Source organism: Homo sapiens, chromosome 3 (genome assembly GCF_000001405.40).
Source record: "Homo sapiens chromosome 3, GRCh38.p14 Primary Assembly".
Taxonomy (NCBI): domain Eukaryota; kingdom Metazoa; phylum Chordata; class Mammalia; order Primates; family Hominidae; genus Homo; species Homo sapiens.
In genome coordinates, this window is record NC_000003.12 from 14,501,890 (window position 1) to 14,528,131 (window position 26,242).

The following is a 26,242-nucleotide window of genomic DNA, read 5'->3' on the forward strand; positions in this document are numbered from 1 at the left end:
AATTTAAAATCTCCAAATTGGAGATTGTGGAGAGAGTGAGCAGTAATGAAAAATGGATCAATAGAAAAAAGGAAAGATGGACGATCAGAAGAAGTATAAAGAAAATGGGATAAATAGGAAGTATAAATTATATACTAGAATTAAGTTTAATTATATATTTTTTCAGGTGTACCTCTGATTGAAAAGTTTAATTATATTAGTAGTCACAACAAATATAAATAGACTAAATTCATCTTTAATAAAAAGAGAACCTGCTATGTATAGTATACAATAGAGACACATTAGAAACAACGATACAGTAAATTTGAAAACAAGCAAATTGGCCAGGCACAGTGGCTCAACTCTGTAATCCCAGCACTTTGGGAAGCTGAGGCAGGTGGATCACTTGAGGCCAGAAGTTCGAGACCAGTCTGGCCAACACAGTGAAAACCCATCTCTATTAAAAATAGAAAAAATTAGCTGGGCATGGTGGCACATACCTTTAATCCCAGTTACTCAGGAGGCTGAGGCATGAGAATCACTTGAACCCAGGAGGTGGAGGCTGCAGTGAGCCGAGATTGCACCACTGTACTCCAGCCTGGGTGACAGAGTGAGACTCTGTCTCAAAAAAAAAAAGAGAGAGAGAGAGAGAAAATAACCAAATTGGAAAAAAAGACAGGCAAATAATCACTAAAATAAATTTAATGAAACAATATTATTATGAGACAAAACAGAATTTAATTTAAGGTGGAAAGTGCATTTGCAAAATCTGGGATGCAGCCAAAGCAATGCTTACAGGTAAATTCATAGCTTTAAAAGATACATTATTCAAAAACAAGAAAGACTGAAAATTAAGGCACTAAGAAACCATGAAAAGGATCATGACTTAAGCATAAATAAAGTGGAAGGAAGAGACTATCAAAGCTAAACAAACAAATGAATAAAATAGAAAATAATAAAGCCAAAAACTTGTTCTTTGAGCAACCTAGTAATTGGCAAGATTAATGGAGAGAAAAAAATGACCCCAATCAATAATATTAGAAATAAAAAGGGGGCAAAACACAGATAAAATAGAGATTTAAATAAAATATAATTGCTCTCAGAGTGGAAGCTTGGGATGTGACTTAGCGAGATCCTCTCTGGATCCTCCTGGGCAGTTTGTTCTATTCACTGAGCAATATTGACCTTACACAAAGCCACATTCACCTCTGGTTTCCCACAGCCCCTTATCTCCTGTGTCGTCACTGATGTCAACACTCACGCTTCTACAGGGCATGCCGACAACCACATTCATGATCACACATACATACAAAAATACCAAAACTGCCCCGTGTGCCTACATGTGCACAATCGGACACACATGTTCTGAAATACACTCTGCAAATGTGCATGCATGAGCATGTTCACATGCATGCATACACATATGCTCCCAATGTACACATGATGATGTCACACATATTCCATGTCCACACAGATAATGTGTAGTACCACAGTGCTCTCAATCACACTTGCACATGAATCCATGCACAGTCTGTACATATGTGAAGACACCTTTTCCCACAGGGTGCCCAGGTGAGTGCATACGTACACATTACACATGAGCATGATGCCATCAGCATGCCTTCCTCCCATTGCACACACACCAGAGTGAACAGCCCCGGGTGCCCCATGCAGGCCTGCAGGGCAGGCAGCCATACCTCCAGTTCCCTCAGCAGCTCTGACTGACCACATGACTCCAGGTCTTCGAGAGCTTCTCCAAACATGCGCCAGAAGCCCTCCTCTCGGGCAGGGCCAGGGGCTGGGCTGTAACGTAGGAACCAGAGAGCGTCAACTCCTGGCAGGCGGGTGGGCGGGCTGGGGCCTGAGGAGTCTTCGGGGCCCCAGGGCCCAGCGTTGGGCTCGAGGGGCCATAGGGTGGGTGGGCGGGCAGGCAGGCGGGCGTCCTCGGTGGCAGTTCTGGGGCCCCGGGGCAGTGGTTGGTGACACGGAATAGGGGAAAGACGCAGTTAGGGGCGACCAGGACTGTCGGTGGCCAGTTAGAACAGGGGCAGATGAGACGGGGTGGAGAGCGGTGACACAGGATGCCTAGGAAGAGAGACAGAGGACAAACAGACGAACAGACAGAGAGGAGATCCATGGTGTAGTCCCAGAGGACGGCCCCTGGCCCCACCCAGACACACGGCACCGTGGGACAGTGACAGGGACAGAGCTGGGGCCAGCAAGGACACAGATGGATGGAGAGGATGAAATAACTGTGCTGGGGAAGGGGTCGAGACCACCCATAACTCCCATCACAGGTTGTATGAGCCTGTTATCATCAGTTCCAACACTGAGTCTCAGAAAGTTCACAATTCACATTTTGACACTTCGCAAAGCCACTTGCTAATTACAAAGGCCTCAACGGTTACAAGGCATGCTGTGATTTACAAAGCACTTGCTTGTTTTTTTTTTTTTTTTTTTTGAGACAGAGTCTTGCTCTGTCACCCAAGCTGGAGTGCAGTGGCATGATCTCGACTCACTGCAAGCTCTGCCTCCTGGGTTCACGCCATTCTCCTGCCTCAGCCTCCCGAGAAGCTAGGACCACAGGCATGCGCCACCACCCCTGGCCAACTTTTTGTATTTTTACTAGAGACGGGTTCCACCGTGTCAGCCAGGATGGTCTCGATCTCCCGACCTCGTGATCTGCCCACTTCAGCCTCCTGAAGTGCTGGGATTACAGGCGTGAGCCACTGCACCCTGCCAGCACTTGCTCTTTTACAGGGGCACGCAAGCTTTGCTATCTTAGGGAGCTTAGGAACGAGGATGTGTTGCCTCCTTCCCTTTCCATGTAACAGATGAAAAGACAGAGGCTGAAGGACACTTGCTCCATTCAAGTCAATTCCACAGACATTTCCTGAGCTAAGTCCTCTGCTGGGCACAGGGATATGGAAGAGAATAAAGTGTGGCCCCTGTTCTTACAGAGCTGGAGATTCATTCGCAAAATATGTCTGAGCACCTACTAGGGGCCACGCGTGGAGCTGGGGTGCCACGCAGTAGAGATGATAGCCAAGTAATTAGCCAGATAGACACAAGGTGTTTAGGCTACCAGGAGACTTGTAGGAGCAGCTGTGGGTACCAGGAGGGAGGGAGGAATCCCTTCTGCCTGAGAAAGACAGGGAAGCTTCCCAGAGGCAGGAGAATTTGAGCTGAGTTTTGAGGGATGAGTAGGGATTTGCCAGGAGAGACCAGGGGAAAGGCATCGAGGCAGAAGGAACCGCCTGATCAAAAGCACCACGATGGGAGGGTGGCCTGGGCCAGATGAGGAACAGCATTTCTCCACAGCCTGCTCTCTGCAGGAGCCTTCTCCAGCGGCTCAGCCACTCGGCACAGCCCAGGGATGGTGCCGGTGGGCTGAGGGCCCTCGCAGGAGGCCATCAGGCCATCTGGGGTAAGTCAGGTGGGCCTGGGTTCAAGTTCTGAGTCTGCTGCTCTTCTGAGAACAGGAGATGACCAAAGTTGGGAAGGGCAAACCAGGCTGCTCTCCACCTCTATACCTTCGTCCCTGCCGTGCCCTCCACCAGTCTGCCCTTCCCTCCGTCTCAGCCTGGCTGAGGTGGCTCTGCTCAGTGCTTCTCTCCCAGGAGGCACCCCTCCTCAGGAGCCCGCCAAGACTCTCCATTCCCCCACCACTTTGGCACAGGCACCCTCGCCCACCCCAGCCAAGACACTGTGACTCCCTCCTCCTTCACGGTGCTCCCACCACAGACCTCGTTGGCGGCTCCCAATCATCCTCCTCCTCCTCCTCTGGAAAGCTCTCGTCAGCTGGGGTTGGGGTATAGCTCGTCCTCCGGGGCTCGGTGGGTGGGGGGCTGCCCCTCAGCCAGCCAGGCCTCCGCTCCTGGGGGGTCGTGCCCCGGGCTGCTGCCTGTGGTGTATAGGACCCTGGTGGTGGAGAGAGGGCCTCTGTGTTCCCTGCGGCCTCACCTTGCCCTCCTGCCTGCCCCATTTCCAGCTGTGCTGAGTGACCCTGGGGAGGTCGTTGCTCCTCTCTGGGCCTGCATCTACACAGCCCTCTGAGGGCCTCTGCCTCTCAGAATCTCCCTGGAGCTCCTGGTCATCCAGAAGTTAATGCCTGGGGCTCTGCGACTCTGTCTCAACTCCATCGGCCTGGGCTTGGCCATCACCCTGCCACGGAAGGAGGCTGAACATGTGGCCCACCCTCCACTTCCTGCCTTTGGGAGCTCTGAAGGTCCAGCCCCAGGGAGTGAGCTGAGAGATGCTGACAGAGAGCTGGAGATGGGGAAGCTGAGGCCCAGGGAGAGCAGGTGTCCGCAGGCAAGAACGGGCTGGCAGCCACCTACGGCCCGTAGAGGCCTCGCCCCCCCTACCCAGTCCTCTGAGTTGGACCATGGGGAGTTCCGGTGGCTCTGGGTCATTGAGGCCAGCTGGCCAGCCACCAGACTCAGACGTCTCCCTGCGGCCACCTCCGGGTCTCAACATGCATTGGCCTGGGAGGGAGCCCGAGGTGTCTGCCCCACATCCGGTCTTGTAGGCTGGGGTGGGAGGGGGCTTTTGGCCTCCCTATTTTCAACTGGATGGAATGAACATTGTTGAGCACCTACTGTGTGCCAGACATTGGGCTAGGAAGGAAGGCTACAGTAGAAGAAAGACCAACTTTGTCCGTAACTTCACAGTGGGGAAAGCTTAGCAGCCAGCATGGGACCCATGGTTCTAAATCAAAAGATATGGCTGCAGTCCATGCTTCCAGGAGCAAGGGGCCCTAAGAGTGGCTTACGGAGCCAAATCAGGTCTTCCTTCAGGAAGGGCCCCTAAAGGATGCCAGGAGAGGAGCGCAGGAGGGAGGAACAGGCACAAGAACAGTCCTGCACAGGCCCAGCAGCAGGGGCGGCCTAGAGAGAGCGTGCCACTTGTCCAAGGGCCCCAAGGTATTACCTGGGCCCCCAAAGCCACCCTCGGTGGCCGAGCTGTCCCAAGACTCCACAGCACTGTCCACACTGGGCACAGCCGGCGAGAAGCGGGCTGCTGGCAGGCCTCCTTTCAGGGCATCTGCTGGGTCCTCATCAGCATCACTGGTCTCACTGAGGCTGCCCGACTTGCGGGGTAGGAGGGGACCTGGGAGGAGAGAGGGGTGTCAATTCTGACTTCAGAGACACTCACAGTGAGCCTCAGTTTCTGCATTTCAGCCTGGTCTGGAAACTCACAGGCAGTAAGCCCTTCTGAGCTGACATATGACCATGGCACACTAATAAGCAAACCTGTTTCACAGATGGGAAAACTGAGGCTCGGGGAAGCTGAGCAGCATGCCCGAGATCACACAGTGAGCACCAGTGGAGCCAGGATTAGCTCAGGCCCCTTCCACTGCCTATGGTGGCCTTTCTACCAAGGCACGGGGACGTATTCAGGGGCAGCTGAGGAATGCATGAGTTATGGCCATGAAGCATACACACGTGAGCACCTTAAGAGGCAGGAAGTAATGAAGAACAGGGCTCAGACCCAGATTCTGCCCCGTGCCCACTGTGTGGCCCTGGGCTCATCACTTCCCTCTCTGAGTCTTATCTTCTTTGCCATCGCAGGCCCGCCTCCACAGGGCTGCAGTGAGGACTCTGTGAGGGTGTGCAGGCAAAGCCTGGCACAGAGGGATTGCCCTTCCTAAACCTGCTGGGTGGCTCCCAGGGGATGAAGCGAATCTCACGGTCTAGTTGCTTCTTGATCTTCAGTGTGACGGTCTCTCCAGCCACCTGCAGGAGGTGGATGGCCTCGCTCAGCGGCCGGCCCTTGAGGCTAACGTTGTTGATGGCCAGAATGCGGTCCCCCACGTGGATGGCACCAGTCCTGAGGAGTGGATGCAGGGCAGAGAATGGGAGTTAGACACTCAGGGCCTCAGAGTGGCAGTCTGCCCTCAGGGAATCCAGGAGAGCCACAAAGCAGAAGTCTGGCTGACCCCAGTTAAACCCAGCTGCCAAAAACAAAACAAAAGCACGCAAGTATGATCTTGGATCACATTAATAGAGACATAAAGTCTAGAACCTGGGAGGGGATTGTCCCACCTGACTGCAAAATTAGGTTCTGGAACCAGTGTCCAACACAGGTTTTGAGAATCCCACATACTAGCTGCCAAATACTTGCTATGTGATCTTGGGCCAGTTTCTTAAACCCTTGAGTTTCAGTTTCTTCATCTGTAAAATGGGGGTGATAATACTAATTTAATTATCAAATCATAACTGAGGCGTGAATGAACGGAATGGATTCCTACTTCCCTCCAGCAGACACCCTTGGTAGCCATTGCCCCTTCCTGGGCCTCAGTTTTCCCACCTGGAGAATGGGCATAATCACCAGCGCCCAGCAGACCTCACAGTAGGGCGTGAAGGGCTGGTGATGCCAGGCGGCAGCACTGCTGTGGCCCAGTGGTTTTCTACCTGGACACCCATTACAATGACCTGAGGAGCTTTTTGAAAATGCAGGTGCCTGGGCCCCACATCTGACCAATTAAATAGTACCTGTGGGGATGGGGCAGGAAGGTGATTCTGAGGAGCAGCCAGGGCTGAGCAGGGGAGAAGCTGTAGCAGGTGCTTAGAGTGACCTGAGCCAGGTGGAGGAAAAGGAGGCAGAGGACTAGGGTCAGGGGTCTTTAACCTCTGGGGCTGTAGATGTCACCCCATATGGGAGCTCCTGGAGAGTCATGCTTGGGCATTGCCCTGCACTTCCCCAGGGATGAGGATAGTGAGCGAGTCAGGGAATGGTGGGCTCCGGGAGGGGACCAGAGCTGTAGTGTCCAATATGGCAGCCACCAGCCACAGGTGGCTGCTGAGCCCCTCAAATGTGACTGCCCAAATTGAGATGTGCTAAAAGCAGAAAACTCACACCAGATACGGAAGGTGTAACATGAAAAAGAATATAAGACATGTTCTTAATGGTTTTTATTTGATTACATGTTGAACTAAATATATATTTAAGATGAATTTCATCTTTTTGCTTTGCAGATGTGGCTACTAGAAAGTGTCTGATTAAATTTGTGGCTCAAATTATATTTCAGTTGGACAGCACTGAGCTACATCAGCCCGGCGAAGGCAGGAGGGTTGTCTGTACAGCCCCAGCAACCAGGACAGAGGGGCCAGGCACACAGCAGGTGCCCAGTACATGCTCGAATTGATGAAGACATTGGGGTCAGAAGGGTTCCACACCGACCTCTGCAGTCTGCCAGGTGTCCAGCAGGGGGCGCTCCAGGAGCAGGGTCCACGTCCCGGAATCCCTCCCATCCTCTCCCCACCCGCCCAGCCACCGCCCCTCCTGCGCGGTGCCCTCCTCCGGGACGCGTCCTGCCCCTGCAGCCCCCACCAGGCTCTCCTTTTACCGCCCGCTCGTTGCTGTGCTGGGAGCTCACCGCTTCCTTGCCTGCCGGATTCATCCCTGCCCAGCTCGGGGGAGAAGGCTCGGTCTCACCCACACTGGGGGTCGGGTTCCATCTCTGACCTCCACCTCACCCTGGGACAGGGCTCCATTCTTACAGCTCCCTCAGCTGCCACAGTTTCAGAGTCTAGGGGCAGCAGGGACAGTCCCCCAATGCCTCAGGAAAGCCCTAGGCAGTGCTGGGACCAGGGTACTGGGGCACTGCCCCATCCTATTCCGCACACAGCAGGCGCTCCAAATAGCCTTGCAGGGCTGACCTTCCAGACACAGGTAGGAGCAGGAAGATGCACACACCTTGGCCCAGTGCTTACCTGGAGCCAGGAGGTCTGCTGGGGTGTGGGCCTCTGCCCTGGCAGGCAGGGGCTGACACTCATTTTACAAATGCAGACCTGAGTCTCAGAGAGGGGAAGTGACTGGCCCAATGTCACCCACAGTGTCAATGTTGGAACAGAGGTCAGAATCTTGCTTGGCTTTGCCATAGCCCCAGCTCTTGCTTCCTGTGTTCCCTGAGCCCACCATGCGTCCCCACAGAGCCCCAGTTCACCTCTCAGCCAGGCCACGCTTGGTGAGGCCTGAGATGACAATGGGGTCAAAAGGTTCCTCCGTGCCCGAAATGGTGATGCCCAGGGGACCCCCGTAGCGCTTCAGCTCCACTGTGTAACTGACGGCACCTGTGGTCTCCAGCTCATCTGCAAGCACGGGGACCCATGAGGAGGAGGCCCCCGAGGGGGTACCCAGCTTCCTAAAGCCTTGGCCTCACTCACTCACTCATACTTATTTATTAATTCATTCACCCAGTCACTCACGCTCTGATTTCATGTAGCACAACCTGGGGACCCTGAGGCCATCTTCTGCCCAAATACCAGTAAAGAAAAGAAACATCACACCTCACCCACAATAATGACAACATTGATGACAAGAAACAGTGGCCTCTTTTCCTCCAGCAGCCAGCAGGAAGCAAAGGGAACCCCGATCATCCGTTGTTTTTTTTTTTTTTTTTTTTTTGAGACAGAGTCTTGCTCTGCTGCCCAGGCTGGAGTGCAATGGCACGATCTCAGTTCACTGCCATACCTCTGCTTCCAGGGTTCAAGTGATCCTCCCACCTCAGCCTCCCAAGTATCTGGGACTACAGGCATGCACCACCAGACCCAGCTAATTTTTGTATTTTTTGTAGAGATGGGGTTTCGCCATGTTGCCCAGGCTGGTCTCGAACTCCTGGGCTTAAGTGCTCCACCCACCTTGGCCTCCCAAAGTGAGGGGTGTACAGGTATGAGCCATTGCACCTGGCCCAACTTTTCTTAAAAGAAAAGAAAAGAAAAGAAAAGAAATCTACCTCCCACAGTAACCTTCTTTCACAGAGTCGGAGTTGGTGATTTGGAGGCTGCCCCTTTGAATCAGGGATTCACTTTCCAGTTGGCGCAGTCCTCACCCGTCCCTTTTGCCTCTCCAATCCATACAGCTTTTCTCACTCATTTATATCACTATCTGGCGTCAGTGGGGCCTGAGTCTGCAGTCTTTGCTTATCCACTCATAGCCTGCCACTCAAAAGGGCAGCCTCGCTCTTCCCCTGCCCTACCCACTCATCTCTCCACCAGCTGCACCAGCTGCACCCAGTAGGTCTCCTCTGCCAGGCTTGGTGCTAGATGTGGAGACTACGGGAGAGTCTCAAACTCCTGTCCACCTCACAGAGGCTCTGGAGGGCCCCAGACGCCGGGGACAGTGAGAAATCTGTGGTGTTGCCCCCTCCTTCATTTGTTCATTCCAGCCAGCCTTCAGCAGCGCCCACCACCCTCCCTTCCTCGGCTGGAGGGAGCCCTGAATTGCAAGCTGGGAACCCGCTAGTCAAAGGGTGGGCCTCTGGAGGTAGGAGGCCAGCATGAGGGCCATACCAGAGTTGTCCTCGTCCTTCCGGATCTTCAGCTTCACCAGGTCCTCGCACTGCCGCAGGATTTGCACGGCGTCCTCCATGGGGCAGTTGTCCAGGCGGATATTGTCAATGGCCAGTAGCTTGTCGCCTGGCTCCAGGGTGCCCGTCCTGCATGAGTCGGGGGCAGAGGGGATGGAAGGAGCCTGGTGCATGCAGGTGCCATACTCACTGCTGTTGGCCACTTCCCTTCCTGTGCCCCAGTGCCCCTACCTGTGTGCCACGCTGCCTTTCTTGATGTCGGAGATGATCAAGGGCTCCCCTCGTTTCCTGCTGGCCGCTGGAGAAAAAGAGGCCATGAATCTGACCTTGGTGGCCTCAGCCTGGGGTGGGGTGGCGAAGCCCAGGGGTCTGAGTGTGGACTCGGAGCCACTGGTCCTACTCACATCCTGGTCCCACTGCTTCCTGGCTGGGTGACCGTGAGCAAATCAGCTCACCTCCCTGTGCATCAGTTTCCCCCCTGTAAAATGGGGGTGGCACCGCAGACCTCATGGGGATGTGGTGAGAGTAAACCAGATAACACAGGCACAAGATCCAGCATGGCCCTTCCAATGCCAGCTCTTCTTTCCTCCTGCTCAGCCCATCCCCCAGCAAACTGCGAGCTCTTTGTGGAGGGGGGCTGTCTGCTTGGTGTCTGTGTCCCCAGCACCGGGCTCAGGGCCAGCACCCAGGCTCTATTGTGTGCTTGGGGGTGGGAGACACAGAAGTGAACAAAACAGACAGCAATCTCTCCCTGCCCTCCTGGAGCTGGCACTCCAGTGGTGGTCACAATCAACAACATTTAAACACCGATGAAGTGAGCTGTGGAGAAACCTGAGAAACGGGCTTGTGTCGAGGGCGGTAAATGTTCAGTCAGGTGGTCGGGGAAGGCCTTGTCAAGTGACATTTGGGCAAAGCCATGAAGGAGGTAGGGAAGAGGCCAGAGGAACGGTCTCAGATGCAAAGGCCCAGAGGCAGGAAGGGGCAGGCATGGCAGGGAGCAGCCAGGCTGACTGCGGCTGGAGGGCTTGAGTTGGGGAGAGTCGGGAGATGAGGTCAGAGGTCATGGGGTCCAGAGCACAGAGGGCCTCACTGGGGCCCGAGGCCCTCAGCTTTTACTCAGAATAAGATGGGAGCCACGGGAGTGCTTTCACCTTTCCCATGCTCACCCATTCTACGTTTTTCTTCTGCATTCCTCATTTTCATTCCTTTGACAAACATGAATTAAGCACCTACTGTGTTCCAGGCCTTTGCTGGGCTCTGAGAACACAGAAGCAGGCAGAAAACCAAACCCAGCCTAAATATTTGTCACCTTCCAATGCTCTCTCACCATGGGCACCTCACAAGCCCCCTGGGAGACCCACGAGGCCAGGGGACTGCCATGGTGCAGAACGGGAAGCTGAAGCTTTGGGAAGCTGGGGTCTCGCTGAGAACACGCAGCTGGGTCCACGGAAGCCAGCCTCCCCACACCCCCAAGCCTTTTCCTCGGGCCCCGCAGGGTGTCACGCCATGGAAATGCTGGTCTGAGCTTGGCAAGCTCTTTTTCCCCAGCAGTTGAGCTCGCTCCCAGGGGCAAACAGCAGCGGGAGGAGACTCACAGCTGATGGTGATGCCCAGCTCCACGCTGCGCTTCTTGGGCAGCTTCACGTGGAAGGTGCCACTGCTTGGGATGACGGACTCTGGGGGTAGATGGACATAAACCGACGTGAGGACCCAGAGGAGGAGCCTCAGCGAACCCCAGCCCCATGCCCATTCTGGCTGTGCTGGGAGTGACCCCGAAAGTCACAGTTCTAATCTCATCCCCCTGCTTCCTCTCAACAGAGGAGGAAACTGAGGCAGAGTGAGCTGACAGATTTGCTCAAAACAACTGACCTGCTCTAGTCAGACCAGAGTCGGGGCTGGAACCAGGCCTCTTGGCTGTCGGCTAGTGTGGCGGGCGGGAAGGGAGCTCCCCACAGCCTAACAACCCAGTGTGAATCTAGCACATATTTCCTGAGCACCTACTATGTGCCAGGCCGTGGCTGGGTATTTTCATGTTTTCATTTCTCTTGGGCATATGCCTCACCTAACCCAAGTACCGCCCCTATAGTGAAAAGATCGTTATCAACTATTTACGGATGGGGAAACAGTGGAGGGAGTGTCCTGTCCAAAGCCACACTGTGTTGAGGTCACAGAAGCAGAATTCTGACCCAAACTGTTGTTCGAGGTTCTTTGCCTAACCCATGCTGAGAAGGAGCTTGGAGTATTTTCAGCTCCCCAACCCCATCCCCACTTGGTCCTGCCCCTCTGCAAAAGTCTCCTGGTGTGGAAACTTCTCCCTCCCGTGCCAAGGCTTCCCTTCCCACTATAAGCTGCAAAGCCCCTGGGAGAAGGGCACTGGGCACAGAGGGGGATGGGGTGGAGCGTTTGCACAGGCGAGGCAGGATAAAGAGAGGAGGGGTGCAGGGCCCTGAAATATGAGGAGGAAGCTTGGGCCACTCACTCACCCGCCACATCGAACTCCACCTCCAGCACGACCTTGTGGGCCAGTGCGGCGTCCCGCAGGAGCTGGTTGGCTTCCTCCATAGTCCCGTCCTCGGTGGCAATGCCATTGATGGACAGGACACGGTCCCCCACCTGCAGCAGCCCACACCTGAACCCAGGGGGCCCGGCAGAGAGAAGAGGCTCCGTGACAGGTCCATTGGGAGACAAGAACGCCATGCAGGGCAGGACTGAACCTGGGTCACACCTCCTGGTCTGGGGTGACTCTCAGCTCTGCCCTGGCCCACCTGTGTATCCTCAGGAATCTGGCTAAGGGCTGGACCTTGCTGGACCTCAGTTTCCCTGTCTGTCCAATGGGGATGATGGCATGGGCCTTACAAGTTGTGTATACAGAGGACTCTGCCTTCAGGCAGACAGGGGTTCAAGCCCTGGGATTCCATGGGTGAGCTGTGTAATCCTGGGCAAGTGAGTCAGCTTCTCTGAGCCTCGGTTTCCTCATCTGTAAAATGGGGCTGGTGCTGGGGCTGATGCAATGGTTAAGTGAGATGCGCTTGTGAAGCTAGGGCTTGGTGCTGTGACTCAGTTTCTCTCAGAGAGTGGCAGGCTCAGTAGGGAGGGGGCAGGAGGCTCACCTCTCAGCCGGACTGTCAGGCTCGATGAAGCACACGAGGGGTGGGGAGGACAGGGTCTCGGTGGCGAAGATGCCGCCCTGGAGCTGGAGGCCAAAGCCGCTGAGGGGGTCTCCACAGAGCACGACCTCCGTGGTCTCCGTGTGCACAATCTGCCCGCCCGGCCCCACCGTGCTGGAGGCTAGCGACACTGTAGGACAGGTGGGCCCAGCATTCAGGTGAGCCGCCCCACGGAGGTCTTCCTGCCAGGGCCTGCCCATCCCGGGGCCCTAGGCACTGGAGCCAGAGTGCAAGGAAGTGGGAGCCCTGACTCAGTCTGGGACCAGACAGATCACAGCTCACTCTGAGCCTTGGCTTCCTCATCTGAACAATGGGATCGTTGATTCCCACCTCGTGGGGTGTGGCAAGGACTAGGGAAGACAGTGGCTGGGATTGACTGTCATGCTGTAAAGCAGGTTCTGGGGGGCAGTGTCATTTTATTGTATTATTGTGCTGTGATCTACTGTAGTATCTACTATATTATGTCACTCTGCTTTTCGGTAAGAGGTTTATTGAGATATAATTTACATACCACAGTAGTCACCTATTTAATGTGTACAATTCAGTGGTTTTTAGTGTATTCACAATTATGCAAACATCACCACGATGCATTTGAGAACATTTCATCACCTCCAGAAGAAACCCTGTTCCCTTCAGCCATCCCCAAAGATCTTCCTATGTCCCTCAGCCCTAGGCAACCGCGAATCTACTTTCATCTCTGCATTTGCCTGTTCTGGGCACTTTATATAAACAGAATCATGCACCATGTGGCCTTTGTGACAGGCTGCTTTCACTTGGCATAATGTTTTCAAGTTCATCCACATTTTGCAGGTGTCAGAATTGCATTCCTTTTTGTGGCTGAATAATATTCCATTGTATGGATACACCACATTTTGTTTATCTATTCATCCATTGGTGGATACTGCGTTCCTTCCACTATTTGGCTACAGTGAATAATGCTACTATGAACATTTGTGTATAAGTTTTTAGGTGGAGATGACACATGTTTTCACTTCTCTTGGGCATATACCTAGGAGTGGAATTGCTGGGTGATATGGCAACTCTATGTTTAACTATTTGATACATAAGGTTATTTAATAAATATTGTTTTACATTCCATATATGAAATATATTTGCATCATTAATATGAATCCTGAAAGTCATTTATTATTTATCAAACAAAATTTATTTGGTATTTCATTACTAATTATATTATTGTGTCATATTATATTATTAAATTATATTGTATATTATACATTACAAAATGTGTAATATGTTATGTTTTTAGGTATATTGTGTTTTTATATGTATTTATTTATTTATTTTGAGACAAAGTCTCACTGTGTCGCCCAGGGTGGAGTGCAGAAGCGCCACCTCGGCTCACTGCAACCTCCGCCTCCCGGGTTCAAGCGATTTTCCCACCTCCAGAGTAGCTAGGATTACAGGCGTGTGCCACCATACAAGGCTAATTTGTTGTATTTTTGGTAGAGATGGAGTTTCGCCATGTTGGTCAGGCTGGTCTCGAACTCCTGGCCTCAAGTGATCTGCCCACCTCGGCCTCCCAAAGTGTGGGGATTACAGGCGTGAGCCACCATGCCTGGCCTATTTGTTTCTTTTCACTACTATGTCCCCATAGTATGTACATTCAGTACTATGCCCCATAATTAATTAATTATAATTAATTAATAAATTACTATCAACAGCAATAATGATAGTACTTTCTTAGTTACACATCCCAGGAAGGAGACAGGCAGAGGAGTCGCAAGAGCCTCCAGTCTCCACATCCCCCACCTACGAACAGCATTTCTGCATCTTTTCATCTACATATTCCCCACTTTGGTGGCCAGGAAAGGTGGTTAGTAGAGATATATTTTCTCTCTCATCTGACTGAAATCTGTTTCCCATTTCCCTTTGGCTGCCAGGGAGTGTAGAACCATATTTAGCTTTTTTCAGACACCAGGTGACCTGTACTCCTCTCTTCTTTCACCTGGTTCTATCTCAAATGGCCCAGTTTGATCTTCTATCCTTCCTGGAGGCCTCTGCAGCTCATGTGGCAGGAGGCTGAGAACCCTTTCTGCATCAACAAAGGAAAGACTGTTCCCAAGAAGGGTTTCAAAATTTTAGGCATTATTGTGTTTTGCCACTTCCACAGGGCTCCTGCCTTATCATTCACTACTTTTGTCTTCTATTGATTTACTTTTCTTAACATGTAAATATCTTTATTTCAAAAGGGCAATTTTGAACAATAAATAAGCAGAGAAGTAAGACTGGAAATTATTACATTCTGGACAGCTAGAGTCTCAGGCCATGTCTTTGTCTTAGGGGAAATTAACAAATGGCAGAGAGGTGGTAAGGATATAGTAACGCAGCACTGAGGCTTTATCCATGAATGAATCAGGACTGAATGGCAAAAAATGTGAAAACTTCATGCACATCTGAAAAGACTTCCTTTCCTCAAGGACGTTATCACCAAATCCTAGGAATTTTTCATAATAAAAATACAAGAATAAAAGTGTACAAAGTAACTGGCACCTCTCAGTGGTCCTCTTGAGCAGTGCACAACCTGCCCAACCATCCATGACAGCCTGGTGTTCCACTCATGTTATTTAACATTCCCACGCATACACCTGGAGCTCTGCCCAAAATACCTCCCCTCGCCCTGACATACACCCTTTGGCAAGCCTCACTCTCAGACATACAAGCAGCCCAAGGAGGAGGGAAGAGACCACAGCTTACACGAGCTCTTGTGTTCCCTTCTTCGCTGCCTCCTCCGCCCCATTGTAGTTCGAGGACTCATGGGCTGGGATCCACGGGGAAGGGTGCTGGGGTTGTTGCAGGAAAAGGCGTGGTTCAAGGTCGGCGAGGAAAAGGGAGTTGAAGACAAGGCTGGGGAGATGAGAGCACAGCCCCGTGAACCCCAGCCGAGGCTCTCCACCCCACCACACAGTGGGTGCTGGGAAGCCACCCAACCACAGGGAGAGATGGGGATGCCTTCCCCCTTCACATCAGTTACTCATTGTGTGACCTCAGGCAAGTCCCTTTCCTCTCTGGGTCTCAAAGACTGCAGGGTTTCCATAGACCCTGTGAAACTCAGCTATTAGGGACGGGGCCAATCTTGCCACTGGCATGCTAGATGACAATGAGGCAGGCCACCTAATCTCTCTCTCTTTTTTTTTTTTTTTTTTTTTTTTTTAGTTGAGGTCTCGCTCTGTCACCCAGGCTGAAGTGCGGCGGTGTGATCTTGACTCACTGCAGCCTCAACCTCCCAGGCTGAAGCGATCCTCCCGCCTCAGCCTCCCGAGTGGCTGGGACCACAGGCGTGCACCACCACACCCAGCTCACTAATCTCTGAGTCTGAGTTTCCTTCCCTTAGACAACAGGCATCGCCCCCTCCCTAGGAAAGGCTACAAGACTGGCTGAGCTACAGCAGGGCAGGCACATTACATCGGCTTTGGTCCTGGCCAGCAGGTGTGGCCCAGGTGGGCATCCTGCAGTGGCCGGGCCGGGGGCTGTGGCAGGAGGGCACGCAGGGGTCCCAGCGGTGCAGCTGCTCACTCCTCTGCACTTTCACTGTAGCCAGCGGAGAAAGAGGAAAGAGAGGTGCAGGCGTTAGTGGCTGAGGGCACTATGAAGCCAGGAAAGCAAGAACCAGAAGATCCTCGTGCTTCCCCTGAGCCAGGCAAGGCATTTAGTATTCTGCTCACATGTCCCGGACGCCTACAATGTGCCGGGCACTGTGTTCAGAGTGCAGCTGCTGCCACATGGCAGCCTGAGAGGCAGGGACAGGAGAGAGAAAGGAAGCCAGGCCGAGGCCCACTGCTGGGAGGTTGTGGAGCAGGGATTTGAACACAGGCATCCTGCCCTGGAGCCGGAGAGGTCTATGGCTATGAGTGCTGCCATGAAGTTTCTCCAAGAAAGAATTGGTGAGGAGTGCAGCTGGCAGACGGTGTCCAGCTGCAGCACTTTGGGGATATGCAGTGGCTCTGCAGCCCAGGCAGCCTCGGCCAGTGGCTGAGCACCGGGGCACTAGGGCCTGGCTATTTCTGCCCCACGACTCTCCAGGACAGCCTTTGCTCCAGGGCTTCCTGCTGGGTTGGCCAAGGCTGAAGTGCACCACGGGCTGAGGCTGCTCCCCCTTCCCAGGCTGCAACCCTTCCCAGCCTTATCCACAGTGAATTCTTTGCACTCCTGTTCCAAGTTCCCAGGGAACCCCCACTGCCCCGACCCCCTAGGAGACCCTGCTTCCTCCATCTGATCCTCCAAACTGGCCACCATACAACACCTCTTCCCAGACCGCCCCAGGCCAGCTCTCCTCTTGCGCGGATGGACAGGTGAGGACTCAACTGTCTCAGCCCGTTGATTCTGTCTCCTTGAGCCACATCTCCACAGCCCCCCTCCCCAGGGCTTGGCCCACTCTGGAGCCAGTTGCCTGGGTCAAATCCCAGCTCTGTCCCTGACCAACTGCGGGACCTGGAGGAGTCACTTCGCCTATCTGTGCCTCAGTGCTATTATCTGTAAAATGGGACCAAGAGAGTGGCCACCTCCTCGGGTAATGGGGAGGGTTAGAATGAGTTAATAATATAACATGCTTAGAGCAGTGCCTGGCACTTAGTAGAAGCTCAGTTAATGAGAGCCAAGGGGTTGTACGCAGATGTGTAGCCTTGCAACGCTACCTCAGCTTTCCCTGTAAAGTGGGAGGACAGTAAGACTAAGCTCAGAGAGGTGTCATGAGGAAGTAATGAGGCGTGCAGGCCGCGGCACCGAACCTGGCACGTGGCAGATGCTCGATAAATGGTACGAGAATGAATGACGCTGTTTCAAGCCCTAATGTCACCCAGACCAGTCCCTGGACTGTGGTTCATTCAGTGTGGCTTTTTCAGAAGCTGGCAGAGACCATAGAGATGGACTCTCCCCAAGAACTGTCCTCCCAATCAGATGTGGGGGATTCCGTTCTCTTCCAGAAGATGGGGTTTGCAAAGGGTGGGGTGGACAGACTCCTTCCTCACCCTCCAGCTCTGCCCTTAGGGCTAGGATTTATAGGCCTGGGCTGTGCCTTGTCCTTTATCTCCGTCAGCCTCCCCCATGTCTGTGCATTAGAAGTCCTCCCTCCTTTTTACAGATGAGATGACTGGGACTCAGAGAGGGAAAAGCACTTGTCCAGCTGCTGGGAGCAAAGATGGGACTTTCACTCAAGGCCCAAGGTTTGGGCTGCTGGACGTGCTTTCCTGCCCTGAGCTGAAAGCTGCCCCTCTGTGGCCACCCCCCACCCTGCCCCTGGCCCCAACTGTGCCCTCTGGACCCCCAGACCACCCACTTCCTCTGCTCTTGGAAATGCCCAGCACCCAGCTCCCTGCTCATAGCTGGGAGACCCTGACTCTTCAAAGGAGAAACTCCAGGCCCTCTCTAACTTCCCAGCTGCCTCCTCTGGATCTGCTGAGAGTCACTGAGAAGAGCCCAGGATCTAAGCTCTGAGTAGCAGAGAGCACAGGACTGTTCCCTCCCTCATTCTAGCCCTTATACTCCTATTAATGCAACCAGTGATGAAACCAGCTTTGGGGCATCTATGCCAGCAGACTCAATTCAAACCCTCAAGTTGTTTCTCTGCCCCACCTTCCCACCCTCAGTTGCTGCTCTTAATAATTTGAGCTTCCCTGGGCAAATGAGGATTTGTCCTAGTACATTTTAGCCTGCTCCTCCCAGCCTGCCCAGGGCTCTGGTCCCAGGCCTCTCAGGCCTCATGACTGCCCAGGTTTGGGCCCTGAGATCTACTGAGGGGACCCACCTGCCTCTGAGGGCCTCAGTGGCCGCTGACTCTGGGGCACAGGCAGGATCTCCAGCCGCACCTTCTCTGAAATGCTGGCCAGGAGCTTGGTGGCCTCAAGCAGCGAGCAGTGTTCCATGCTGGTGCCATCGATGGACAGGATGTGGTCTCCAGGGTGCAGGGCTCCGCTCCTGGCCAGGCAGGGGAGTGAAGGCGGAGGCTGGTCCAGGCCAGACAAAGCTCTGGGCCGCCTCTCCCCTGCACACACCTCCATGGTGGCAGCACCCAGGGTGTGCCTTACCTGTCCACCACGCTGGCTGGCTTGATGCGGTCGATGGTAATGACTGACTTGTTCCGGAGGGAGGTGGTGGTGAGCGAGATCCCCAGGGCAGACCCTGGCGTCTTGACTATTTCCACCATCAAGGGTCCCGAAGCATTAGCCACCGTGTCTGGCATGACGGAGAAAAAAAGTTTGAAATGCAAATACCGAGCACTTTCCTCCCCAGCCTCACCCTGCTATCCTGATTTAATCCTTGCTGCCTGGAAGAAACTGTTATACCCATTTGATTAACATAATTTTTTATTCCTTTTCTTTCTTTTTTTATCTTCTACCAAATGTTATATCAATTTGACAGATAAGATAGCAGTGGAGGAGGGGCAGGAGCTCAGGTCTGAGGGGCTGTGATCCCAGGGCTTTGCTGGGTGAAATGAATTTGCTTGAGTTTATGAAGAGCCTGTGGTATACCAGCACTAAACTGTAAAGTTCACTACAACCCATCCCCATCTCAGGAAATGGCACCTCCATTAACACACCCAGTGGCTGGAAATTAAAACTTTGGCCGCACCCTTAGCTCCTGCCCTCGCCCACCCATGTCTAAATCTCAGCAGATCAGGCCAGCTGGACCGTCATCATATTTCCTGAATCCCGTGCCTTCTCCCCTCCTTAGCCACCAGCCTGGTTCAGTCCCTTAGCTCTCGCTTGGACAGCTGCTGCCGCTTCCTATGGCCTCCCGGCTTCCACCTCACCCTGCTCTGCCCTTACCTCCTTTCACTCACCTGTGCCAACCACGGCAGCCTCCTCACTGTGACCAACCATGCTGGCCATGCTCCTGCCTCAGGGCCTTTGCACTTACTCTTCCGCCCTCCTGGAATGCTGTCCCTGGACATTCCATGCCTCGCTCATTCCCTCACTCCCCTAGTGAGAGAGCATCCCCCAGCCTGTCCCATCTCTCTCCCCTGCCTCTTTTCTTTTTTCCATAGCACTTATTGCCAACTGACATACACCATATCTTATCTATTCTGGATACTGTCCTCTCTCCACCAGAATGCCAGCTCCATGAGAACAGACACCTCAATTCTGTTGTTCTAGGCTGGATCCCCAGCACATCAAACAATGCCTAGCACATACTATTTACTGCCCAGAGAAGCTGTGACTGGCCCAAGGTCATAAGGTCATGCAGCCTTTGCAGTGGTAAAGATCCATGGCCACTGCCACCTCCCCCCATCCCAGGCCTCCTCCTGCCCCAACCCACACACTCAGGCCCCCAACTCACCAGGGGTGGCCACATCATACTCCACCTGAAAGAGTGCCTCGTGGCTGCACTGCCGCAGGGTGGCCAGGGCGGTGGCATGGCTGGCCCCGTGCAGCGGGATTCCATCGACACTGAGCAGCCTGTCGCCCACCTTCAGGGAGCCCTCCCTGTAGGGAAGGGCCAGTCACCAGCCTGGCCCGGCAGCAGCACTGGGCACAGCCTGTCTGGGAGGGCGCTGGGAAGCGGGACATGGAGGATGAAGAAGCAGGGAATGGGTGGGGGAGGAAGGGGAGGAGGGGACGGGTGAAGGGGCGCATGAGTGAGTGAAGGAATGAGCCACTCCAGGAGTGGGGAGCTGCATAAAGCAAGGGGGGGATGAAGACAGGATGGGGTGGCTCTGCCGCCTGCCACTCCTCTGGGTGTGCAGTAATTCACAGACTCAGTGCAGAACCCTGAAATGTCTGAGCTGGGGGTGCTCTTCAAGCGTCACCCCCAACTCCTGCCTCAGGGACAAAGGACAGCACCAGGGCCCAGAGAGGGTGCAAGCTGTGCCCATGCCACACGGCATTGGGGGCTGCTCTGAGCCGTCCTGGTCCCTTCCCATTGCTCCACCCTCACCCTGGTTTCTCAGCGGTGATTCTGGCCTGATGACAACCCGCGCCTGGGAAAGAACTCAACAGGGGCCAGGGGAGGGGCCCCAGCAGGGTTCACCTCGGTTTGGGTCGCATCCCCAGCCTGGAACGCCTCTCCCAACAGGTGGCCAAAGCTATTCTCGGGGGTTCTATGAATAGCTCATCACAGGGCCCTGTCCCAAGGACAGATTTAGATTTCTGACAAGGCCGTTCCAGGCTTCTCTTAAAATGGCCAGGAATCTCCCACTGGGGAGGCCGAGGGATCAGGGGCTGGGAACTGGACATGTTCTTTCCCCACATTCTCTCCTCCTGGCCCTTCTGGGCTGGGCCCAGGCGGGGCCGAGCTGGGTCGATCAGCCAGGACCCAGGAGACTGAGTCACAGACGGCTACAGCAGTGGCCAATCAGCGTGCCCCCAAATCTCTCATAGCAACTCTTAGGGACCATTCCACAGACGGGAAAACCAAGGAGCAGGAAAGGGAAGAACGACACCAAGGCTGCCCCTCTCCAAACACCCCAACCCCTGAGACAGCAGTATGTTGGGGAAGAAAGGGCTCGAGGTTTCCCTCATTTGGGGTTACATCCCGGTTCCATCAACAACTCCCTGAATGACACCGGGCAGGGAGTGTTCCCTCAGGGCCTCGATCTCTTCATCTGGGGAAGGGGCATGGTGACCCCACTCCACCTTCTTCGCAGGGGAGTTGGGGCAGGTCAGTGCAGTGTGTGGATTTCTTCTGCCTCGGCTCACCTGTCGGCAGGGCCACCGGGCCGCACGTAGGTCAGGACAAGCGGGCGGGACTTGTGCCCATCTTCATGGGCACCTCCTGGACAGGATTTGACAAGAAGCAGGAATCATCCACCCACCCCTTCCCATCCAGAGGCTCCCACACAGCCCCTGAGCAGGCTCCTTCAATAAAACCTGTTTGAGGACCTTGTCCTTGCTATCCATGGACCCTCTTATGAGACACCAACAATAAATTCGCCCTCCCAAGAGATGGTGCAAGGGGTGGGTAACATGACCAAAGTCTTCTCTCTGTTAAATGGCTTGCCTCCCTTCTGTGACCTCACCTTATTTCCCCTTTTCCCTGATCTCTAGGAAGCTCCAGACTTTGTTCTCAGTCTCGGTAGCAGCTTTCACCATCATTTTCCGGTACAACTTTCTCCTCTCACTCTCCCCAACCAAGCCTACTTCATTGCTTGGCAGATTTTCCCACTGAATACTTACCTTAACGGTCCTGTGTTCTTCAAAGTCAGAACTGAGATACACATAAATTACATTCAAATCCAAACAGCACACACATGGAATTAGTATTAGCCTCTTTCTTGCTGCCCCAATACCAAGGGCAATTCTTTCACTGACCTCTAAGGACAAAGCCAAAGCTATTGCCCTCCTTGTAGAGGGAGACGTCCACTGTCTTTGAAATGATCCTGGGGTTATTCTCAGGAGCTGGGGAGAAATGGAGGACTCCTTTGAGTCCCTCAGTCGCATCTCCAGGCCGGTAGATGTGCCCAAAGCTCATTCCAGGAGGACTGGGTGATCAGTCACAGAGATTACAGGGAGGGTAAACCCTTGCCCATTTTACAGGTCGAACAAGTGAGGCTTAGAGGGATCCTCTCCCCTAATCCCACTTAGCCCACCACTGAGAGAGAGGAAAGGGCCTGCCCATGCTCACAGAGACGACGGCAGAACTCAGGCTTGAGTCCATGGCTGGTAGGCTCAGGCCAGGGCTGAATTCCAGACAGTTACTCAAACTTCAAGACTTTAGACCAGCTTTGAAAATCCCAAGCTAGGTGAAACCCTACACCACCGTTACTTAGTGCAGGGCAGTGGAGTGTGGGCGTGGTAGGTCAGGGAACGACTTATTCAGCTAATGCTTCCAAAACCCTCCCCGCTAAAGGAAAAGCATCTGGAGACTAAATATGTAAAATGACATTGGCTATAGAGTCCCACCACCTCCTGGTGACAGCATACTGCGGTTGTAGGCACAGCCCCTAGGCGAGGTATGGATGCTTGTGGCCAGTCTCCAGGTTCTACCCACTCCATCTGGCATGATCCCTGCCACCCAGGCCCTGGTGGGGAGGTAGCCGTGTCCACCCGCAACCGAGGCAGTGGAGAAAGTTCCCCGTCCAAGGGCACCCACCGGGCGGGGGCAGCTCATACTCCACCTCCAGCACCACGCGCTCGCCCACATTCTTGAGCAGGGTGATGATCTCATCGTGGCGGAGCCTGGTCAGGTGGATCCCGTTCACAGACCGAATATAGTCACCAATGTTCAGCAGATCACTCCTAGAGCAGGAAGGCCAGGGCACACATGGTAACAGGTGCTGGCCCATGCAGTCCTGGCATTCACACCCACCCTCCTCTGGAATCCCTATGATCACTGGATCCTCATTTCACAAATGGGGAAGCTGAGGCTTAGAGAGGTCAGACAGTTGTCCAGGGTCACACAGCACGTAAGAGAGTGCAGAGACTGACACCCAGGTCCCAGGCTTTCCCCCTTCGCTGGTCTGCCTGCTTTTCCTTCTGCAGGGGTGTCTCAGACGAGCCTGCAGAGTGACCAGATCATCACATCCTTTGCTGTTCCCTAATGCTCTTCCTGACTTCTCACCACCAACCTTCCTGCTGTTCAACTGGACATTTATCTGCACCAGCATTGTGTGAGGCCCAGGGAGGCAGTGACTGAGAGGCTAACTCCCAGGCCTCACAGTCCAAGGGAGCCACAGGGGCAAATGAAATCAGACAATGTGTGCAGAAATGTGCATGTGGGGCTTCAGGAACAGAGCAGTGCAGCTGCCTTGGCCTCGGGTCAGGGAGGGCTTCCTGGAGGCAGTGACCTCTGTGTTGAGTGTGGAGGGGTAAAGAGGAGTGTGCCAGGAGGATGCTGTGGGGAATAGGCTTTTGGACATAGGGGACTGCATATGCAAAGGCCTGGAGGGCAGATATGGCCTGGTGACTGTGGGGTGCTATGGCCAAGCCCCTGGTGTAAAAGAAAAGAGAAGCCAGGGCCTAGAATTACAGCCTCCATTGGAGGCCTTCCCTCTGCAGACACCAAGTTGATGGGTGCTCCTGGAAACAGCTGCCTGATTGCTTTGCCTAAGACCTTCAGTACATTTTCCACTGGCCCTGGGCTCCCATCATTGCCTCTGCACCCCCCTCCTGCGGCCGTGCCAAGCCCACTTCTCACCTGGCTGCAAGTCCCCCAGGTCTCAGGTTGGAGACCCTGGGCTTTCCATCCTTGTCGGTGCCACCTGAGATAGTCAGGCCCAGCGTGCTGCCTTCTTTCTTGATCAGCTCCACCACAGTGATCCCTCGGAACTCCTCTGCCAACAGATGGGGATGGGGGCTTGAGCGGGCAGCTGGGGCCACCCCAGGCCCCCAGCTCTAAGATAAGCGAGGCGAGCACCTGGTTGGTAGGGCACTCTGCTGCATTGCCCTGGGTGATGATCACCTCCTTTTTACAGAGGAGAATCAGAGAGGTTAAGTGGCTGGTCTAAGGTCACAGAGCAAGTCAGTGGCAGAGCCGTTGCCATCTGACCCCCACCTAGGGCTCTCTGTGCCTCCAGGGCAGAAAAAGAGGGAATGAGGGAAGCCTCATTACCTGGAATGCTCTGTCTGCGGCACGCCAGGGAAACGTCGGCCCCTCCTGCGTCCTTGCCTCCTTTGGAGTAGGGCCCATCGTCTGCAGGAGAGAAAGAGGGAAAGGCCGAGTTCCACTTTCGTTTCCATTCCTGCAGACCTCTTCTGCTTTGGGAATTTTCCACTCTGTGGACGTGGCCTGTAAGATGGGTTCCCTCCTGCCACCAGCTCCACCCGATTCTCTGCTGGAGAATCCTCACAGCTCCTCCTCCCAAAGAAAGCCTGGCCCCTGCTCTTGGGGCTGAGTAACATTCTTTGAGCACTACACTACATATTGGGAGCTTCACAGCCATTCTGTGGTTCACTGTCTCAACAACCCTGTGAATGTTGTTACCATGGATCAGATTATTCCACTGTACAGATAAGGAAGCTGGGGCTCAGAGAAGGCCAACTCATGCCCATTGTCACACAGCTGGAGAGTTGTGCAATCTGCATTAGAACCCAGTTCTGCTGACTCTACTACCCAGGGCTGTGCTTACATACCTGCTGGGAGGGGGAGCTCTCTCAAACGCAGGCACAGCAGCTCATGTGAGACAGCTCTGACCGAGACGAAACTCAATCTTGGGTGGACCTGATTAATGCTTCCTCATGAGGACTGCACTTTACAGTTTATGAATCACATTCTCAGGCGTTCTAGGCAGCCTGAGATAAGTCTGTCCTCCTTCACTCTAATTCGAGAAAGCGCTCCCTTGTGTTTCTTCAAATGTTGTTTCCAACAGCTCTCTCTCTTTTGAAAAGCTTAATAGATGTACTTTAGGACTTTCCATTTTACTCTCCATGACCCACATCCACACCCACCCTTCTCTCATATTTTCCATGTCTTCTTTATCTCTCTAAGATACGTCAAGGGGTGCTTCATCTGCAATGAAATCTGTCTTTTTTGCTTCTTTTGAGTTAGTAGAAAATCTTTCATACATTTCAAACATAAAGAAGGTAGAACAGTATGATGCAGAGATTCTCAAAATGTGGTCCCCAGGCCCACAGCACCTGGGAACTTGTCAGAAATGTAAATTATTGGCTGGGCACAGTGGTTCATGCCTGTAATCTCAACACTTTGGGAGGCCGAGGCAGGTGGATCACTTGAACCCAGGGGTTCAAGACGAGCCTTGGCAACATAGTGAAACCCCATCTCTACAAAAAATGCAAAAATTGGCCGGGCATGGTGGTGCATGCCTATAGTCCCAGCTACTCAGGAGGCTGAGGTAGGGGAATCACTTGAATTTGGGAAGTCGAGACTACAGTGAGCTGTGATTGCGCCACTGCATTCCAGTGACAGAGAGACTCTGAGACCCTCACTCTGTCTCGAAAAGAGAGAAAGACAGAGACAGAAGAGAGAGAGGGGGTGAGAAAGAAGGAAGAAAGGGAAGGGAAGGGAAGGGAAGGTATTTCTTTTCCAAGGCATTGCCTTTCCTAGGCATTTAAAGTGTGTTAAAGCTACAGAAATTGGATTGTTTTTCAAATTTCATTTTCTAATTACTTGAAAGGAAAGGAAAGGAAAGGAAAGAAAGGAAAGGAAAGAAGGAAAGCGAGGGGAGGGGAGGGGAGGGGAGGGAAGAGGGAGGGAAGGAGGAAGAAAAGGGAAGTAAGAAAGGAAAATTCTTGGCCCCAACCAGGACCTGAAAAAGGAAACACCCTGGGGGTGGGCTCCAGGAATCTGTATGTGTGTGTATATTAGTATATTAGTCTAACTTATATTATTCTTCACTTTTTAGCATTTAGACCGGGGGATGGTGGCTCACACCTGTAATCCCAGCACTTTGGGAGGTCAAGGTGGGCAGATCAGCTGAGGTCAGGAGTTCGAGACCAATCTGGCCAACAGAGGCATGGCAAAACCCCATCTCTACTGAAAATACAAAAATTAGGGGGGTGTGGTGGCAGGCACCTGTAATCCCAGCTACTTTGGAGGCTGAGGCCGGAGAATCGCTTGAACCCAGGAGGCGGAGGTTGCAGTGAGTCAAGACCGTGCCACATCACTCCAGTCTGGGTGACAGAGTGAGACTCCATCTCAAAAAATAAAAAATAAAAATAAATAAAAATTTAAATATAGTAAAATTTACTCTTTGTGGTGAGCATGTCAATGAGCTTTGGAAAATGTCTCCTGACCACCACCACGACCAAGTTTTAGAACATTTCTATTGGCCCCCAAAATTCTCCCTTGATGTTCTACTGTAGTCAGTCCCTGCCCCAACCTCTGTTCCCCACAAGCACTTATCTGTTTTCAGTCTCTATCATCTTGTCTTCTC

The 26,242-nt window shown here is 53.3% G+C and overlaps 1 protein-coding gene across 11 annotated transcripts in view, besides 10 other annotated features; it reads right to left on the bottom strand.

Annotated features, from left to right (window-relative positions):
• Nucleotides 1–26,242, bottom strand: part of GRIP2 (glutamate receptor interacting protein 2) — a 113,911-nt gene that overhangs the window by 12,783 nt on the left and 74,886 nt on the right. For 3 of the 11 annotated variants that reach the window (XM_011534142.4, XM_011534141.4, NM_001080423.4), the window contains exons 2-21: nucleotides 23,962–24,042; nucleotides 23,548–23,683; nucleotides 22,504–22,649; nucleotides 21,723–21,809; nucleotides 21,111–21,186; nucleotides 19,753–19,898; nucleotides 18,501–18,648; nucleotides 18,221–18,390; nucleotides 15,883–16,008; nucleotides 15,175–15,324; nucleotides 12,403–12,589; nucleotides 11,776–11,921; nucleotides 10,888–10,968; nucleotides 9,524–9,590; nucleotides 9,276–9,421; nucleotides 7,931–8,075; nucleotides 5,672–5,811; nucleotides 4,912–5,091; nucleotides 3,726–3,900; nucleotides 1,677–1,782 (exon numbers count right to left, since the gene is read on the bottom strand). In XM_011534142.4, coding sequence (XP_011532444.1) covers nucleotides 1,677–1,782; nucleotides 3,726–3,900; nucleotides 4,912–5,091; nucleotides 5,672–5,811; nucleotides 7,931–8,075; nucleotides 9,276–9,421; nucleotides 9,524–9,590; nucleotides 10,888–10,968; nucleotides 11,776–11,921; nucleotides 12,403–12,589; nucleotides 15,175–15,324; nucleotides 15,883–16,008; nucleotides 18,221–18,390; nucleotides 18,501–18,648; nucleotides 19,753–19,898; nucleotides 21,111–21,186; nucleotides 21,723–21,809; nucleotides 22,504–22,649; nucleotides 23,548–23,683; nucleotides 23,962–24,042 — 2,639 coding nt within the window. The other 8 variants (XM_047449036.1, XM_011534143.4, XM_047449037.1 and 5 more) reach the window with 7 other exon arrangements.
• Nucleotides 3,550–4,051: an enhancer, noted in NCBI's record as "H3K4me1 hESC enhancer chr3:14546947-14547448 (GRCh37/hg19 assembly coordinates)". NCBI's record gives its function as "activates a minimal SCP1, AML or CMV promoter by ChIP-STARR-seq in naive H9 embryonic stem cells {active_cell/tissue: H9 hESC(naive)}" and the evidence as "EXISTENCE:reporter gene assay evidence [ECO:0000049][PMID:30033119]".
• Nucleotides 4,052–4,551: an enhancer, noted in NCBI's record as "H3K4me1 hESC enhancer chr3:14547449-14547948 (GRCh37/hg19 assembly coordinates)". NCBI's record gives its function as "activates a minimal SCP1, AML or CMV promoter by ChIP-STARR-seq in primed H9 embryonic stem cells {active_cell/tissue: H9 hESC(primed)}" and the evidence as "EXISTENCE:reporter gene assay evidence [ECO:0000049][PMID:30033119]".
• Nucleotides 7,072–7,366: an enhancer, noted in NCBI's record as "identical tiled regions #227 and #3570; K562 Activating DNase unmatched - State 12:CtcfO". NCBI's record gives its function as "activates a minimal TATA promoter and a strong SV40 promoter by Sharpr-MPRA in K562 cells {active_cell/tissue: K562}" and the evidence as "EXISTENCE:reporter gene assay evidence [ECO:0000049][PMID:27701403]".
• Nucleotides 7,232–7,281: a silencer, noted in NCBI's record as "silent region_14095". NCBI's record gives its function as "represses an Ori minimal core promoter by ATAC-STARR-seq in GM12878 lymphoblastoid cells {active_cell/tissue: GM12878}" and the evidence as "EXISTENCE:reporter gene assay evidence [ECO:0000049][PMID:35858748]".
• Nucleotides 12,018–12,519: an enhancer, noted in NCBI's record as "H3K4me1 hESC enhancer chr3:14555415-14555916 (GRCh37/hg19 assembly coordinates)". NCBI's record gives its function as "activates a minimal SCP1, AML or CMV promoter by ChIP-STARR-seq in primed H9 embryonic stem cells {active_cell/tissue: H9 hESC(primed)}" and the evidence as "EXISTENCE:reporter gene assay evidence [ECO:0000049][PMID:30033119]".
• Nucleotides 16,264–17,068: an enhancer, noted in NCBI's record as "H3K4me1 hESC enhancer chr3:14559661-14560465 (GRCh37/hg19 assembly coordinates)". NCBI's record gives its function as "activates a minimal SCP1, AML or CMV promoter by ChIP-STARR-seq in naive H9 embryonic stem cells {active_cell/tissue: H9 hESC(naive)}" and the evidence as "EXISTENCE:reporter gene assay evidence [ECO:0000049][PMID:30033119]".
• Nucleotides 19,538–20,379: an enhancer, noted in NCBI's record as "H3K27ac-H3K4me1 hESC enhancer chr3:14562934-14563775 (GRCh37/hg19 assembly coordinates)". NCBI's record gives its function as "activates a minimal SCP1, AML or CMV promoter by ChIP-STARR-seq in naive H9 embryonic stem cells {active_cell/tissue: H9 hESC(naive)}" and the evidence as "EXISTENCE:reporter gene assay evidence [ECO:0000049][PMID:30033119]".
• Nucleotides 20,380–21,220: an enhancer, noted in NCBI's record as "H3K4me1 hESC enhancer chr3:14563776-14564616 (GRCh37/hg19 assembly coordinates)". NCBI's record gives its function as "activates a minimal SCP1, AML or CMV promoter by ChIP-STARR-seq in naive H9 embryonic stem cells {active_cell/tissue: H9 hESC(naive)}" and the evidence as "EXISTENCE:reporter gene assay evidence [ECO:0000049][PMID:30033119]".
• Nucleotides 23,235–23,736: an enhancer, noted in NCBI's record as "H3K4me1 hESC enhancer chr3:14566631-14567132 (GRCh37/hg19 assembly coordinates)". NCBI's record gives its function as "activates a minimal SCP1, AML or CMV promoter by ChIP-STARR-seq in primed H9 embryonic stem cells {active_cell/tissue: H9 hESC(primed)}" and the evidence as "EXISTENCE:reporter gene assay evidence [ECO:0000049][PMID:30033119]".
• Nucleotides 23,737–24,236: an enhancer, noted in NCBI's record as "H3K4me1 hESC enhancer chr3:14567133-14567632 (GRCh37/hg19 assembly coordinates)". NCBI's record gives its function as "activates a minimal SCP1, AML or CMV promoter by ChIP-STARR-seq in naive H9 embryonic stem cells {active_cell/tissue: H9 hESC(naive)}" and the evidence as "EXISTENCE:reporter gene assay evidence [ECO:0000049][PMID:30033119]".